Source organism: Homo sapiens, chromosome Y (genome assembly GCF_000001405.40).
Source record: "Homo sapiens chromosome Y, GRCh38.p14 Primary Assembly".
Taxonomy (NCBI): Eukaryota; Metazoa; Chordata; class Mammalia; order Primates; family Hominidae; genus Homo; species Homo sapiens.
Genome location: NC_000024.10, coordinates 17,683,170 through 17,701,019, shown reverse-complemented (window position 1 = coordinate 17,701,019; position 17,850 = coordinate 17,683,170). Strand labels below are relative to the sequence as shown.

The window sequence follows — 17,850 nt, the reverse complement described above, 5'->3', positions numbered from 1 at the left end:
TGATATATATTTTCATCTCTCAGTGTTAAACTTTTCTCCTGATTCCACAGGTTTTGAAACACTCTTTATGCATAATCTACAAAGGGACATTTTGGAGACCCTTGAGGTCTATGGGGTGAAACCAAATATCCCCAGATAAAACTAGAAAGAAGGTATCCGTGAAACTTCTTTGTGATATCTGGATTCATGTCACAGAGATAAACCTTTCTTTTTATTCAGGAGATTGAAAATACTCTTTTTGAAAAATCTACAAAATGACATTTGGGATCCCATGGACAATTATTGGAAAAGAACGAATATCCCAAGACAAAAACCAGACGGAAGCTATCTGTGAAAATGCTTTGTGATGGGTAGATTCTTCTCACAGAATTATACTTTTCTTTTTATTCATCAGGTGGAAACATTCTTTTTGGAGAATCTGTGAAGGGCCATTTCTGTGCTCCAACTGGACTATGCAGAAAAACCAAGTATTTTCAGTTAAAAACTAGAATGAAGCTATCTGTGAAATTACTTTGTGATGTGTGGATTCACCTCACAGAAGTAAATTTTTCTTTTGATACAGCAGGTTGCAACACTTTTTGTAGAATCTGCAAAGGGACATTTTGGAGCTCATTGATGACTGTGGGGAAAAACAGAGTATTCCCAGGTAAAAACAAGAAAGACTCTATCTGTGAAATGGATTTGTGATGTGTGGATTTATCTCACAAAGTTAAACCTTCCTTTTTATTCAACTGGTTGGAAACACTCTTTTGGGAGAATCTGTGAAGGGATATTTGGGAGCCCTTTGAGACTATGGGGAAAAACAGAATATGCCCTGATAAAAATTAAAAAGAAGCTATCTTTGAAATGGCTTTGTGAGTGTGAATTCATCTTGCAGGATTAAACATTTCTTTTGATTCAGCTGGTTGGAGACACTTCTTTTGGAGAATCTGTGAAGAGACATTTGGGAGCCCATTGAGACCTATAAGGAAAAAAACAGAATATCCCAAGGCAAAAACTATAAGGAAGACACCTGTGAAACAGCTTTGTGATGTGTGGATTCATCTAACAGAGTTAAATCTTTCTTTTGATTCAGCAGGTTGGAAACACTCTTTTTGGAGAATCTGCAAAGGCATATTTGGGAGCCTAGTGAGGTCCAAGGAAAAACAACTAATATCCCCAGATAAAAACTAGAAAGAATCTGTGAAACTTATTTGTGATGCATGGATTTATCTCACAGAGTTAAACCTTTTTTTTTTTTTTTTTTTTTTGATTCAAGCATTTGGAAACACTTTTTCTGGAATATCTGTGAAGGGGTATTTTGGATACCAATGAGGTCCATGGGGAAAAACCAAATATCCGTAGGTAAAAACTAGAAAGAAAGTATCTGTAAAACTGCTTTGTGATGTGTAGATTCATCTCACAGACAAAAACCTTTCTTTTAATTGATCATGTTGGAAACCTGTTTTTGTAGAATGTGTGAAGAGATATTTGGAAATGCAATGAGGCGCAGGGGAAAAAAACAAATATCCACAGATAAAGAAGTAAAGACTACCTATCGGTGAAACTGCTTTGGGATGTGTAGATTCATCTCAAAGTGTTAAAACTTTCTTTTGATTCAGCAGGTTGGGAACACTGTTTTTGGAGAATCTACAAAGGGACATTTCGGAGCCCATTGCATCATATGGCCATAAAATTGAATATCCCGAGGTAAAAAGTAGAAAGAAGCTATCTGTGGCACTGTCTTGTGATGTGTGGATTCATCTCACCAAGTTAAACCTTTCTCTGCATTCAGTAGGATGGAAATACTCTTTTTGGAGAATCAATGGGATAATTGGGAGACCATAGATCCCAAATTAAAATCAATGGAAAATTTCCAGATAAAAACTAGGAAGAAGCTATCTGTGAAACTGCTTTGTGATGTGCAGATTTAGCTCATGGAGTTAAACTTTCCTTTTGATTCAACAGTTTGAAAACTGTCTTTTTTGAGAATCTGTGAAAGGACATTTTAGAGTCCATTAAGGCCCATGGGGAAAAAAGTATCCCTATGTAAATAAGGGAAACAAAGTATCTGTGAAATTGCTTTGTGACATGTAAATTCATCTAACAGAGTTAAAGCTTTCTTTTGATCCCACAAGTTGGAATCGCTCTTTTTGGAGAATCTGTGAATGGACAATTTGGAATCCATTCAGGCCCATGGGGAAAACCTGAATATCCCATAATAAAAACTAGAATGAAGCTATCTGTGAAAATGCTTTTTGATGTGTGGATTCATTACACAGAATTAAACATTTCTTTTGATTCACCAGGTTGGAAACACTCTTTTTGGAGAATCTGCCAAGGGCAGTTGAGGGCCTTTGAGGCCCATGGGGAAAAACAAATACAGATAAAAACTAGAAAGACGCTATCTCTAAAACTGTTTTGGGATGTGTGGATTCATCCCACAGAGTTAAACCTTTCTTTGGTTTAGCAGGTTGGAAACACTATTTTAGATAATCTGTGAAGGGACATCAGAGAGCCCACTGAGGCCCATAAAAAACAAAAAAACGAATATAGCCAGGTAAAAACCAGAAAGAAGCTATCTGTGAAACTGCTTTTTATGTGTGGATTTATCTCAGAGTTAAACCTTTCTGTTATTCAGCAGGTTGAAAGCTCTTTCTTGACAATATTTGAAAGGACATTTGGAAGCTCATTGAGGCCTATGGGCAAAAACTGAGTATCACAGGGTAAAACAAAAAGCAAACTATCTGTGAAACTCCTTTGTCATCTGTAAATTCATCTCACAGAGATAAAGTTTTCTGTTGATTCAGCATATTGCAAGCACTATTTTTGGAGAATCTGCAAAAGGATATCTGGTAACACATTGAGGCCCATGGTGAAAACAGAATATTTCATGATAACAACTAGAAAAAAACTATCTGTGAAACTGCTTGGTGATGTGTGGATTCATCTCACAGAATTAAACCTCTCTTTTGACAGCCAGTTGGAAACACGTTTATTGGATAAACTGTGAAAGGCCATTTTGGATAAAATTGAGGCCCATGGGGGGGAAAAAAAAACTAATATCCCCAGTTAAAAACTAGATAATAGCTATCTGGGAAACTGCTTTGTGATACGGATTCATCTCACAGAGGTATACCTTTCTTTTGATTCGGCAGATTGGAAACACTCTTTTGGAGATTCTGCCTGGGGACATTTTTGACCCCATTGAAGCCCATGAAAGAAAACCGAATATCCCCAAGTAAGAACTAGAGAGAAGCTATCTATGAAACTGCTTTGTCATGTGTGGATTCATGTCACCAAGTTAAAACTTTTTTTTTTGATTCAGGAGGTTGGAAACACTCTTTTTTGGAGAATGTGCAAAGGAATATTTTGGATCCCACTGAGGCCCATGGGGAAAAACTGAATAGCCTTAGGTAAAAACTAGAAAGAAGCTATCTCTGAATCTGCTTTGTGATGTATAGATTCATCTCACAGATTTAAACATTTATTTTGATTCAACAGATCGTAAACACCCTATTAGGAGAATCTGCAAAGGGACATTTGGGAGCCCATTGCAGCCTATGGGGATAAACAGAATAACCCCAGGTAAAAACCAGAAAGAAGACATCTGTGGCACTGCCTTGTCATGTGTGGATTCATCTCACTGAGTTAAATCTTTCTTTTGATACAGCAGGTTGGAAACACTCTTTTTGGAGAACATGTGAAGGGATATTTGGGAGCCCATTGAGGCCCATGAAAAAAAAAATTCTAGATAAAAACTAGGAAGAGGCTGTCTGTGAAACTGCTTTGTGATGTGTGGAATAATCTCACAGAGTTAAACATTTCCTTTGATTCAGCAGTATCTGCAAAGAGACATTTTGGGTCCCATTAAGGCCTTTCAGGAAAATTCTAATATCCTCAGTTAAAAACTAGAAAGACGATATCTGGGAAACTGCTTTGTGATTTGTGTTTTCGTCTCACTGAGTTAAGCCTTTCTTTTGATTCAATAGGTTGGAAACACTCTTTTTGGAGAATCTGCAAAGGGACATTTTGGACCCCCATTGAGACCTATTGGGAAAATCCTAATATCCACAGGTAAAAACTAGAAAGATGATATCTGGGAAACTACTTTGGGATTTGCGCTTTCATCTCACTGAGTTAAGCCTTTCTTTTGATTCAGCAGGTTGGAAACGCGGTTTTTGGAAAATCTGACAGTGGACATTTGAGAGACCGTTGAGAACCATGGAGAACAACGTAATAGCCCCAGGTAAAAGCTAGAAAGAAGCTATTTGTCAAACTGCTCAATGATTTCTGGATTCATCTCAAAGGTTTACACCATTCTTTTGAGTCAGCAGGTTAAAAACAATCTTTTTGGATAATCTGTGAAGGGACATTTGGGAGCCCCTTTGAGGCCCAATGGAAAAAAAAATATGCCCAGATAAAAACTAGAAAGAAGCTGTCTATGTAACTCCTGGCTGATGAAGACGAATATGCCCAGGTAAAAACTAGAAAGTAGGTATCTGGGAAAGTGCTCTATGATGTGTGGATTCATCTCAGAGGTAAATCCTTCCTTTGATTCAGCAGGTTGGAAACATTCTATTTGTAGAATCAGCAAAGGGACTTTTGGGAGCCCATTCAGGCCTAAAGGAAAAATTGAATACCCCTACATAAAAACTGAAAGAAGCTGTCTGTGTAACTGCTTTGTGATGTAAAGATTAATGAAAGAGTTAAACCTTTCATTTGATTCATCAGGTTGACAGAACTCTTTTTGGAAAATCTGTGAAGGTACATTCAGGGCCCATTGTGGCCTATGAGGAGAAAGCAAATATCCCCTGATGAAAATAAGAAAGAGGGGTGCAGCCAAGATGGCCAAATAGGAACAGCTCCACTCTACAGCTTCCACCATGACCAATGCAGAAGATGGGTGATTTCTGCATTTCTAACTGAGGTACTGGGTTCATCTCACTGTGGAGTGCCAGACAGTGGGTGCAGGACAGTGGGTGGAGCACACTGTGCATGAGCTGAAGCAGGGTGAGGCATCACCTCACCCAGGAAGCTCAAGAGGTCAGGGAATTCCCTTTCCTAGTCAAAGAAATGGGCAACAGACGGCACCTCGAAAATCAGGTCACTCCCACATTAATACTGTGCTTTTCCAATGGGCTTCAGAAATGGCACGCCAGGAGATTATGTCCCACACATGGCTCAGAGGGTTCTATGCCCACTGAGCCTCACTCATTGCTAGAACAGCAGTCTGAGATCAAAATGCAAGGTGGCAGTGAGGCTGGGGGAGGGACACCCGCCATTGCTCAGGCTTGAGTAGGTAAACAAAGTGGCTGGGAAGCTTGAACTGGGTGGAGCCCACCACAGCTCAAGGAGGCCTGCCTGCTTCTGTAGGCTCCACCTCTGGGGGCAGGGCACAGACAAACAAAAGACAGCAATAACCTCTGCAGACTTAAATGTCCCTGTCTGAGAGTTTGGAAGACTAGTGGTTCTCCCAGCACACAGCTGGAGATATGAGAATGGGCAAACTGCCTCCTCAAGTGGGTCACTGACTCCTGAGTAGCCTAACTGGGAGGCACCCATCAGTACAGGCAGACTGACACCTTACCGGGCCGGGTACGCCTCTGAGCCAAAACATCCAGAGGAATGATTAGGCAGCAGCATTTGCGGTTCACCAATATCCACTGTTTTGCAGCCACCACTGCTGACACCCAGGCAAACAGGGTCTGGAGTGGACCTTGAGTAAACTCCAACAGACCTGCAGCTGAGGGTCCTGATGGCTAGAATGAAAACTAACAAACAGAAAGGACATCCACACCAGAAACCCATCTGTACGTCACCATCATCAAAGACTAAAGGTAGATAAAACCACAAAGATGGGGAAAAAACAGAGCAGAAAAACGGGAAACTCTAAAAATCAGAGCACCTCTCGTCCTTCAAAGGAATGCAGCTCCTCACCAGCAATGGAACAAAGATGGACAGAGAATGACTTTCACGAATTGTGAGAGGAAGACTTCAGAAGGTCAAACTACCCTGAGCTAAAGGAGGAAGTTTGAACCAATGGCAAAGAAGTTAAAAACTTTGAAAAAAAATTAGATCAATGGATAACTAGAATAACCAATGAAGAAAGTCCTTAGAGAACCTGATGGAGTTGAAAAACATGGCGCGAGAACAACGTGCTGAATGCACAAACCTCAGTAACTGATGCAATCAACTGGAAGAAAGGGTATCAGCAATGGAAGATGAAATGAAGTGTGAAGATCAGTTTAGAGAAAAAAGAATAAAAAGAAATGAACAAAATTTCCAAAAATATGGGACTATGTGAAAAGACCAAATCTATGTCTAATTGGTGTACCTGAAAGTGACAGGGAGAATGGAACCAAGTTGGAAAACATTCTGCAGGATATTATCCTGGACAACTTCCCCAATCTAACAATTCAGGCCAACATTCAAATTCAGGAAATACAGAGAATGCCACAAAGATACTCATCAAGAAGAGCAACTCCAAGACATATAATTGTCAGATTCACCAAAGTTGAAAAGAAGGAAAAAATGTAAAGGGCAGCCAGAGAGAAAGGTCGGGTTACCCACAAACGGAAACCCATCAGACTAACAGCTCATCTCTCAGCAGAAACTCTACAAGCCAGAAGAGAGTGGGGGCCAATATTCAATATTCTTAAAGAAAAGAATTTTCTACCCAGAATTTCATATCAAGCCAAACTATGCTTCATAAGTGAAGAAGAAATAAAGTACTTTACAGACAAGCAAATGCTGAGAGATTTTGTCACCACCATGTCTGCCCTAAAAGAGGTCCTGAAGGAAGCATTAAATGTGGAAAGGAACGACCAGTAGCAGCCACTGCAAAAACATGCAAATTATAAAGACCATCAAGGTTAGGAAGAAACTCCATCAACTAACTAGTTAATATCATAATGACAGGATAAAATTCACACATAACAATACTAACCTAAAATGCAAATGGGTTAAATGCTCAAATTAAAAGGCACAGACTGGTAAATTGGATAAAGAATCAAGACCCATCAGTGTGCTGTATTCAGGAAACCCATCTCACAGGCAGAGACACACATAGGCTCAAAACAAAGGGATGGAGGAAGATCTACCAAGCAAATGGAAAACAAAAAAAGCAGGGGTTGCAATCCTAGTCTCTGATAAAACAGACTTTAAATGAAACAACATCAAAAGAGGCAAAGAAGGCCATTACATAATGCTAAAGGGATCAATTCAACAAGAAGACCTAACTACCCTAAATGTATATGCACCCAATATGGGAGCACCCAGATTCATAAAGCAAGTCCTTAGTGACCTATAATGAGACTTAGACTTCCACACAACAATAATGGGAGATGTTAACACTCCACTTCAACATTAGACAGATCAACAAGACAGAAAGCTAAAAAGGATATCCAGGAATTGAACTCAGCTCTGCACACAGTGAACCTAATAGACATCTACAGAACTCTCCACCCCAAATCAACAGAATGCACATTCTTTTTAGCACCACACCACTCTTTTTCCAAAATTGACCACATACTTGGAAGTAAAGCACTCCTCAGCAAATGTAAAAGAATAGAAATTATAACAAATTGTCTCTCAGACCACAGTGCAATCAAACTAGAACTCAGGATTAAGAAACTCACTCAAATCCGCTCATTTACATGGAAACTGAACAACCTGCTCTGGAATGACTACTGGGTACATAACGAAGTGAAGGCAGAAATAAAGATGTTATTTGAAACCAATGAGAACAAAGAAACAACATACCAGAATCTCTGGGACACATTCAGAGCAGTGCGTAGCGGGAAATTTGTAACACTAAATGCCCACAGGAGAAAGCAGGAAAGATATAAAATTGATATCCTAACATCACAATTAAAAGAACCAGAGAAGCAAGAGCAAACATATTCAAAGGCTAGCAGAAGGCAAGAAAAAACTAAGATCACAGCAGAACTGAAGGAAATAGAGACACAAAAAACTCTACAAAAAATCAATGAATCCAGGAGCTGGTTTTCTGAAAAGATCAACAAAATTGACAGACCACTAGCAAGACAAATAAAGAAGAAAAGAGAGAAGAATATAATAGAAACAATAAAAAATGACAAAGAGGATATCACCACCGATCCCACAGAAATACAAACTACCATCAGAGAATACTATAAACACCTCTAATGCTAATGAACTGGAAAATCTAGAAGAAATGGATAAATTCCTCGACACATCCACTCTCCCAAGACTAAACCAGGAAAAAATTGAATCTCTGAATAGATCAATAACAGACTCTGAAATTGTGGCAATAATAAATAGCTTACCAACAAAAAAGAAGCCCAGGACCAGATGGATTCACAGACGAATTCTACAGAGGTACAAGGAGGAGCTGGTACCATTCCTTCTGAAACTATTCCAATCAATAGAAAAAGAAGGAATCCTCCCTAACTCATTTTATGAGGCCAGCATCATCCTGATACCAAAGCCTGGCAGAGACACAACAAAAAAAGAGAATTTTAGACCCATATCCTTGATGAACATTGTTGCAAAAATCCTCAATAAAATATGGCAAACTGGATCCAGCAATACATCAAAAAGCTTATCCACCATGATGAAGTGGGCTTCATCTCTCGGATGCAAGGCTGGTTCATCATATGAAAATCAATAAACATAATCCAGCATGTAAACAGAACCAAAGACAAACAACACATGATTATCTTAATAGATGCAGAGAAGGCCTTTGACAAAATTCAACAACGCTTCTTGTTAAAAACTCTCAATATCATTGTTCAATTCCCACCTATGAGTGAGAATATGCGGTGTTTGGTTTTTTGTTCTTGCGATAGTTTACTGAGAATGATGATTTCCAATTTCATCCATGTCCCTACAAAGGACATGAACTCATCACTTTTTATGGCTGCATAGTATTCCATGGTGTATATGTGCCACATTTTCTTAATCCAGTGTATCATTGTTGGACATTTGGGTTGGTTCCAAGTCTTTGCTATTGTGAATAATGTTGCAATAAACATACGTGTGCCTGTGTCTTTATAGCAGCATGATTTATATTCCTTTGGGTATATACCCAGTAATGGGATGGCTGGGTCAAATGGTATTTCTAGATCTAGATCCATGAGGAATCGCCACACTGACTTCCACAATGGTTGAATTAGTTTACAGTCCCACCAACAGTGTAAAAGTATTCCTATTTCTCCACATCCTCTCCAGCACCTGTTGTTTCCTGACTTTTTAATGATTGCCATTCTAACTGGTGTGAGATGGTATCTCATAGTGGTTTTGATTTGCAGGAAGGGGAATATCACACTCTGGGGACTGTGGTGGGGTGGGGGGAGGGGGGAGGGATAGCATTGGGAGGTATAACTAATGCTAGAAGACGAGTTAGTGGGTGCAGCGCACCAGCATGGCACATGTATACATATGTAACTAACCTGCACAATGTGCACATGTACCCTAAAACTTAAAGTATAATAATAATAAAAAAAACTCTCAATAAATTAGGTATTGATGGGATGTCTTTCAAAATAATAAAAGCTATCTATGACAAACTGACAGCCAAAATCATACTGAATGGACAAAAATTGGAAACAATCCCTTTGAAAGCTGGCAAAAGATAGAGATGACCTCTCTCACCAATCCTATTCCACATAGTGTTGGAAGTTCTGGCCAGGAAAATCAGGTAGGAGAAGAAGGCAAAGGGTATTCAATTAGGAAAAGAGGAAGTCAAATTCTCCCTTTTAGCAGATGGCATGATTGTATATTTAGAAAACCCCATCGTCTCAGCCCAAAGTCTCCTTAAGCTGATAGGCAGCTTCCGCAACATATCATGATACAAAATCAATGAGCAAATATCACAAGAATTATTATACACCAATAACAGAAAAACAGAGAGCCAACCATGAATGAACTCCCATTCACAATTTCTTCAAAGATAATAAAATACCTAGGAATCCAACTTACAAGGGATGTGAAGAACCTCTTCAAGGAGAAATACAAACCACTGCTCAATGAAATAAAAGAGGATACAAACAAATGGAAGAACATTCCATGCTCATGGGTAGGAAGAATCAATATCATGAAAATGGCCATACTGCCCAAGGTAATTTATAGATTCAATGCCATCCCCATCAAGCTACCAGTGACTTTCTTCACAGAATTGGAAAAAACTACTTTAAATTTCATACAGAACCAAAAAGGAGCCCACATTGCCAAGACAATCCTCAGTGAAAAGAACAAAGCTGGAGGCATCACACTACCTGACTTCAAACTATACTACAAGGCTACAGTAACCAAAACAGCTTGGTACTGGTACAAAACAGAGATATAGACCAATGCAACAGAACAGAGCTTTCAGTAATAATGCCACATATCTACAACTATCTGATCTTTGACAAACCTGACAAAAAGAAGCCATGGGGAAAGGATTCCCTATTTAATAAATGGTGCTGTGAAAACTGGCTAGCCATATGTAGAAAGCTGAAACTGGATCCCTTCTTTACACCTTATACAAAAATTAATTCAAGATGGATTAAAGACTTACATGTTAGACTTAAAACCATAAAAACCCTAGAAGAAAACCTAGGCATTATCTTTCAGGATATAGGCATGGACAAGGACTTCATGTCTAAAACACCAAAAGTAATGGAAACAAAAGCCAAAATTGACAAATGGGATCTAATGAAACTAAAGAACTTCTGCACAGCAAAAGACACTACCATCAGAGTGAACAGGCAACATACAGAATACGAGAAAATTTTTGCAACCTACTCATCTCACAAAGGGCTAATATCCAGAATCTACAATGAAATCAAACAAATTTACAAGAAAAAAAAAAAAACAACCCTATCCAAAAGTGGGCAGAGGATATGAACAGACAGTTCTCAAAAGAAGACATTTAGGCAGCCAAGAAAACACATGAAAATATGCTCATCATCACTGGCCATCCAAGAAATGCAAATCAAAACCACAATGAGATACCATCTTACACCAGTTAGAATGGTGATTATTAAAAAGTCGGGAAACAACAGGTGCTGGAGAGGATGTGGAGAAATAGAAACACTTTTAGATTGTTTGTGGCACTGTAAACTAGTTCAACCATTGTGGAAGTCAGTGTGGCGATTCCTCAGGGATCTAGATCTAGAAATACCATTTGCCCAGCCATCCCATTACTCATTCTCAGCAATCTATTGCAAGGACAAAAAACCCAACAGCACATGTTCTCACTCATAAGTAGGAATTGAACAATGAGAACACATGGACACAGGAAGGGGAACATCACACACTGGGGACTGTTGTGCGGTAGGGGGAGGGGGGAGGGATAGCATTAGGAGATATACCTAATGCTAAATGATGAGTTAATGGGTACAGCACACCAACATGACACATGTATACATATGTAACAAACCTGCACATTGTACACATGTACCTTAAAACTTAAAGTATAATAACAATAATAATAATAATAAAATTGTGATGGGGTTAGACATTTAAAAAAAAAGAAAATAAGTAAGAAGCTATCTGTGAAACTACTTTGTGATGCCTGGATTCCTCTCATAGGGTTGAACACTTTTGGAGAATGTGTGATAGGACAATGGGGAGCCCACCAATGGCAATGAGGAAAATTCGAATAACCCCAGATAAAAACTAGAAAGAAGCTATCTGTGAAACTGTTCTGTGGTATGTAGATTCACCTCAAATAATTAAACCTTTCTTTTGATACTGCAGGTTGGAAACACATTTTCTGAGAATCTGCAAGGGGACATTTTGGAGCCCATTGAGGCCTGTGGGGAAAAATATGGTATACCTAGGTAAAAACTAGAAAGAACATATCTGTGAAACTGCTTTGTGTTGTGTGGATTCATCTCACAGAGTTAACCCTTTCTTTTATTCAGCAGGTTTGAAATACTCTTTTTAAAGGATCTATGAAGAAATATTTTGAAGTTAATTGAGGCCCATGGAAAAAATAAACGAATATCTTCAGGTAAAATCTAGAAAGAAGCTATCTGTGAAATTGCTTTGTGATGTATGGATTTGTCTCACAGAGTTAAATCTTTCTTTGGATTCAGCAGATTGGAAAAACTCTTTTTGGAGAATTTGTGAAGGGACTTTTTGGAGTCCACTGAGCTGTTGAATAACTGAATATCCCCAGAAAAACAGTGGAATCTATCTGTGAAACTGCTTTGTGATGTGTGGATTCATCTCACAGAGTTAATCCTTTCGTTTGATTCCGCACGTTTGGAGCACTCCTTTTGGACAATCTGGAACAATATATTTTGGTCCATTGAAGCCAATGAAGGAAAAAAAGGAGTATCCCTAGGCAAAACCTAAAAAGAAGCTATCTGTGAAAATGCTTTGTGATGTTTGGATTCATGTCCCAGAGTTAAACTTTTCTTTTTATTCAGCAGGTTGGAAACACTCTTTTTGAACAATCTGCAAAGGGAAACTGGGGAGGCCATGGAAACCCATAAGGAAAAACAGAATATTACCAGATAAAAATCAATAAAAACTATCTGTGAAACTGCTTTATGATGTGTGAATTCAACTGACAGAGTCAAACCTTTCTTTTGATTCAGCAGGTTGGAAAATCTCTCCTTGGAGAATCTGTGAAGGGATATTTGGGAGCACATTGAAGCCCACATGGGAAAACAGAATATACCCGAATAAAAAGTAGAAAGAAACTATTTTTTGAAACTGTTTTTGTGTTGTATGAATTCACTTTACATAGTTAAACCATTCTTTTATACAGACGGTTGGAAAAATCTTTTTGAAGAATTTGCAAAGTGACATTTGGGAGCCAATTGAGTTCCATGTGGAAAAACCTGATAGCCCAAGATAAAAACAAGATGGAAGCTATCTATTATAAGGGGAAACCAGCCCCCAATGTTTCAATGTAGATTTTTTTCTATTTTCCCCAAGTGTAGTCTGGCCTGAGAAATAAAGGGAAAGAGTACAGAAGAGAGAAATTTTAAAGATGGGTGTCCGGGGGAGACATCATATGTCAGCAGGTTCTGTGATGTACCCGAAGCCACAAAACCTGCAAGTTTTATTAGTGATTTTCAAAGGGGAGAGAGAGCATGAAAGGGTTTGGGTCATAGATATCACATACTTCACAAGGAAATAAAATATGGCAAGGCAAATGGGGGCAGAGTGAGATCACAGGACTGTGGTGAAATCAAAATTGCTAATGGAGTTTCATGTCCCACTAAGCATACATTGTCATTGATAACATCTTATCAGGAGACAGTGTTTGAGAGCAGACAACCAGTCTGACTAAAATTTACTAGGCAGTAACTTCCTCATTTTAATAGGCCTGGGAGCACAATGGGAGGCCAGGGCTTATTTCATCCATTACCTGCAATCCTATAAGACAGAAACTCCCAGACCGGCCATTTTAGAGACATATCCCTGGGAATGCATTCCCTTTCTCAGGGCTGTTGCTTGCTGAGAAAAATAACTCAGCAATATTTCTCCTATTCACTTTTGTAAGAGGAGAAATATGGCTGTTCCACCCAGCTCCCAGTCCGTCAGACCTAATGGTTTTCTCCCTTGTTCCCTGAACATCACTGTTATCCTGTTCTTTTTACAAAGTGCCCAGATTTCATATTGTTTAAACACACATGCTCTACAAACAATTTGTGCAGTTAATGCAATCATCACAGTGTCCTGAGGCAATGTACCTCCTCAGCTTAGAAAGATGACAGGGTTAAAAGATTAAAGTAAAGACAGGCATAGGAAATCACAAGAGTATTGATTGGGGAAGTGATAAATGTCCATGAAATCTTCACAATTTATGTTCAGAGGTTGCCCTAAAGACAGACATAAGAAATTATAAAAGTATTAATTTGGGGAAATAATAAATGTCCATGAAATCTTCACAATTTATGTTCTTCTGCCATGGTTTCAGCCGGTCCCTCCAACTGGGGTCCCTGACTTCCCGCAGCATCTCTCCCTTTCTTTTATATAAATGTGCCATGGTGTTAAAGGCTTGTTTGTTCTCTCAATTTTGAGGCAGGAGTCTTTGACTGTTCCAGCACACTAAAGACAAGCTTATTAAACAGAAAAACATAATTCCAAAATTTACTACAGTGAAGCCCCCACAGACTTAATTCAAGTTGTGAGGTTTAGCCCGGAAAGATTTTCTGCCACCTGATCTAATGCCCCAGCTGCAGGCACAATGGACAAATGAGATTGAGAGATTTCAAAAATTTGTTTCTTTAATTTACTTATGTCCAGTGATAAATTATCTTCCTGACCTAGAAGGTGTCCTTTGACCACTTCTCATGAATGATCTATCTCATTGTAGGAATACAGAGTAGTACAGAAATCAGAACTGTTCCAATTGCACTGCAATTGCGTGTGATGTTCGAGACTCACTACCTGATCTCCAAGCAAATAACAGACTGTCTTAAATCATTAATTTGATTAGCCAATTTTTGATCAATGCCTTGTTGAGAATTCCACATTTGGGTGGAATTGGCTTGCCAATCATTAAAAAAATCAGCTGTTTGAATAGATTGATGTAACACCATTCCGGCAGTGGTCACCAGTGCAGTGACTAATTAGGCCCATGATTACTGTGATTAACGTGAAAACAAATCTCTTAGATCTTTTTAGAATTCGTTGTAACAATTCATTAATTAAATGTATTGAGGGGGAAGATTCCCAAGGTCTGGGCAAAATTATTGGAATACAGATTCCTTCTTGAGTTCTAACCACAATACACTTTTCGTGGAGTGAAAATGGGGGTTAATGCAAGTGTATAATGACAGATGATGCATTGAACAGTTTGATTGTTCGTTCAAATTTTGATATTTCCCACTAACAGCATGTAAGGAGGCTTAACATATCTCTGTATGGGAACAGTCGGGTTAGAGGTAAGTAAAACATACTGTCTGGATCTAAGTCAATACTGAGAGAGAGGGATGGTAGTGGGGACAACAGACAGAATAGTTTCCCCTTTCCATGCTCACAGTCCAGACATGGCAATCGCCAATTTTCAAAGTTCTGGGTATTCTGAGCTCAGGATGGGGAATATTATATGCTGCCTCAATGGGGTGGGGTAATGCTTTCATCTTCCCATTTCAAGGGAAAGAATGAGCTCAACCTCCTATGTAAAGTAAAATGATGATTCTCGTTCTCCAGATAAGAAATAAAATAAGCAGCCTCCAGGCATTCCCTTCCACCAGAGGAGCAACAGATTTTAAATAACCCTTTGGTGCCCAGTCTATTACTAAACCATATGAGTCATTTTAAATGTTACTGCATGCGAGTTAACACTGTCTTCCAAAATTAAGGTTTTACATGAGCCATCAAAATTTTTAGGGCATGGTTTTCCTGCAGGTTTATATTGAAAGTATGGGGTATCTCCCATTACTCCCTCTTTCATTTCCTTTAAAGAAGAAAGGGAGAGGCCAGAGACCAAATGTCCCAGTTCCTCTGTGGCTGATCTCTCTGGAAGACAAGTAGCCCAGAATTGAGTTTCTAGATGGATACAATCAGGTGCATGTTGGAGGCACAGAGGTGGGTATTTATAACCCATGATAACATTAAATACAGTGCCTTCTTCCCCTGGTTGAGTGGAGCAATTGTCATCTGTAGCTGCAGTCATCCACACACTATCATTAGTGTAGATTTCTGCAGGAGCATCCGTCCAGGTGAGAGGTCAAACAAGTGGAGGAAAAGGCACATAAGCCCAGTAAGAATAATTTTGTGTAGCAGGTAAATCAGTGTGTGAGGAAACTAGTGAGACAGAAAGTATAAGGGGGAGAATGATTCAGTAAAACCTACTGTAAGCAAGATTTAGTGCTGAAGGAGGAAGAAAAGAACAGAGGGATGTTATTTTTAGGCCAACAGAAATGGTAAGATTTTTAGGTTTGTAAGGAGAAAAATAAAGGTAATTCGAAGTGTAATTAGTTAGATGGGTCTCCGTTGTCATTGGGGGGATTGAATCAGACCCATTGTGATTTAGTGTGCCAGCTTCTAAGGAGTTGACACAGATCTTACCACATCTAAGTGTGGTCTCTGACATTGACGTCTTTTCCCTGTGGTTTTCGTTTGATGATCTCCTGGTGAAACACAAGCATATCCTCTTTCCCACGTTAAATGGAATCAGAGACAATATTTAAAGGCTTGGGGAAATCCTATAAGACAACAATTACAGCAATTAACTCTGCCTCTCGAGTAGTGGTATAAGGGGTAGAAATAAGCTTGTCTGTAGGACCTATATAACCAGCATTTGCATTGCTGGAGCCATTAGTGAACACTGTGATGGCCCCAGGAATGGGCTGATTTTTGCTTAATCAAGGGACCACTGAAGACGTAAGTTTTATAAAATCAAACAATTTGTTCTTTGGATAATGATTGTCAATAATACCAATGAAATCAACCAAGTGAATTTTCCACAGAATGGAATGTTGAAAGGTGGCTTGAACTTTAAACCAGTTTAAAGGAACTACAATTAAATTTGGATCAAATCTGGAAATTTTAAGTATTTTATACCATGTCTATCCAATTGGATTGGCCAACTGATTTGTGATGTATCGATTAATCTCACAGAGCTAAATCTTTGTTTTGATTCAGTAGGTTGGAAACACTCCTTTTGGAGAATCTGTGAATTTATATTTGGGACCCCATTGAGGCCTTTGGGGGAAAACCAAATATTCCCAGGTAAAAATCAGAAAAAAAAGTATATGTGAAACTGATTTCTGATGTGTGGATTCATCTTACAGAGATAAAACTTTCCTTTAATACAGCAAGTTGGAAACAATCTTTTTTGAGCATCTGCAAAGGACATTTTGATGCCCCTTGAGGCACATGGAGAAAAACTGAATATCTCCAGGCAAAAACTAGAAACAATATATCGGTTAAACTGCTTTGTGATGTGTGGGTTCATCTCACAGTGTTGAATATTTCTTTTGTTTCAGCAGGTTGCAAACACTCTTTTTGGACAATCTACCAACAAACATTTGGTAGCCCATTGTGGCCCATGGGAAAAAAGAAATATCCCCATGTACAAATAAGAAGCTATCTGTGAAACTGCTTTGTGCTGGGTGGATTCATCTCACAGAGTTATATTTTTCTTTTGATTCAGCAGGCTTCAATACTCTTTGGAAAATCTGGAAGGGACATTTGAGAGTTCATTGAGGCCCACTGGGAAAAAAACAAAAATCTCAAGTAAAAACTAGAAAGAAGCTATCTGTGAAACTGCTTTGCAATGTATGGATTCATCTCAGAGAATTAAACCTTTCTTTTGATTCAGCAGGTTGGAAAAACTCTTTTTGGAGAATCTGTGAAGGGACTGTTGGGAACCCATTGAGGCCCACAGGGAAAAACCCAGTAAACTTGTGTAAAAAACAGAAAAAAATCTGTGAAATTGCTTTTTGAAGTGAGGATTAAACTCACAGAGTTAAACATTACTTTTGATTCATCAGGTTGGAAACACTTTTTTTTGGAGAATCTGCAAAGGGACATTTTGGATCCCATTGAGGCCCATGGGAAAAAAAACGGAATACATTTAGATCAAAACTAGAAACAAGCTATCCGGAAAAATGCTTTGCAATGTGTGGATTCATCTAAAAGCTTTGAACCTTGTTTTGATGCAGCAGGTTAGAAACACTCTTTTTGGTGAATCTGCAACTGGACATTTGGTAGCCCATTGAGGCCCATGAGGAAAAACTGAATAACTGCATGTAAAACCTAGAAAGTAGCTATCTGTGAAACAGCTTTGGGAAGTCCCGATTTATCTCACAGAGTTCAATGTTTTTTTTTTTTTTTTGATTTACCAGGTGGGAAAGACTCTTCTTTAAGAATGCCTGAAGAGACATTTATTTGGCAGTTCATCAAGGCCCAGGGGGGAAAATTCAATATCCC

The 17,850-nt window shown here is 38.8% G+C and overlaps 2 long non-coding RNA genes across 2 annotated transcripts; both read left to right on the top strand.

The window, feature by feature from the left end:
• Positions 1-1,228: 1,228 nt before the first annotated feature.
• On the top strand, positions 1,229-8,089 carry LOC124905302 (uncharacterized). Its single transcript, XR_007068455.1, has 3 exons — positions 1,229-3,220; positions 3,308-4,056; positions 4,145-8,089. It is a non-coding gene; the product is annotated as an uncharacterized LOC124905302 (long non-coding RNA).
• A 3,617-nt stretch (positions 8,090-11,706) lies between these two features.
• LOC105377218 (uncharacterized) lies at positions 11,707-12,507 on the top strand. Its single transcript, XR_938618.2, has 3 exons — positions 11,707-11,789; positions 11,877-11,962; positions 12,051-12,507. It is a non-coding gene; the product is annotated as an uncharacterized LOC105377218 (long non-coding RNA).
• Positions 12,508-17,850: the final 5,343 nt, after the last annotated feature.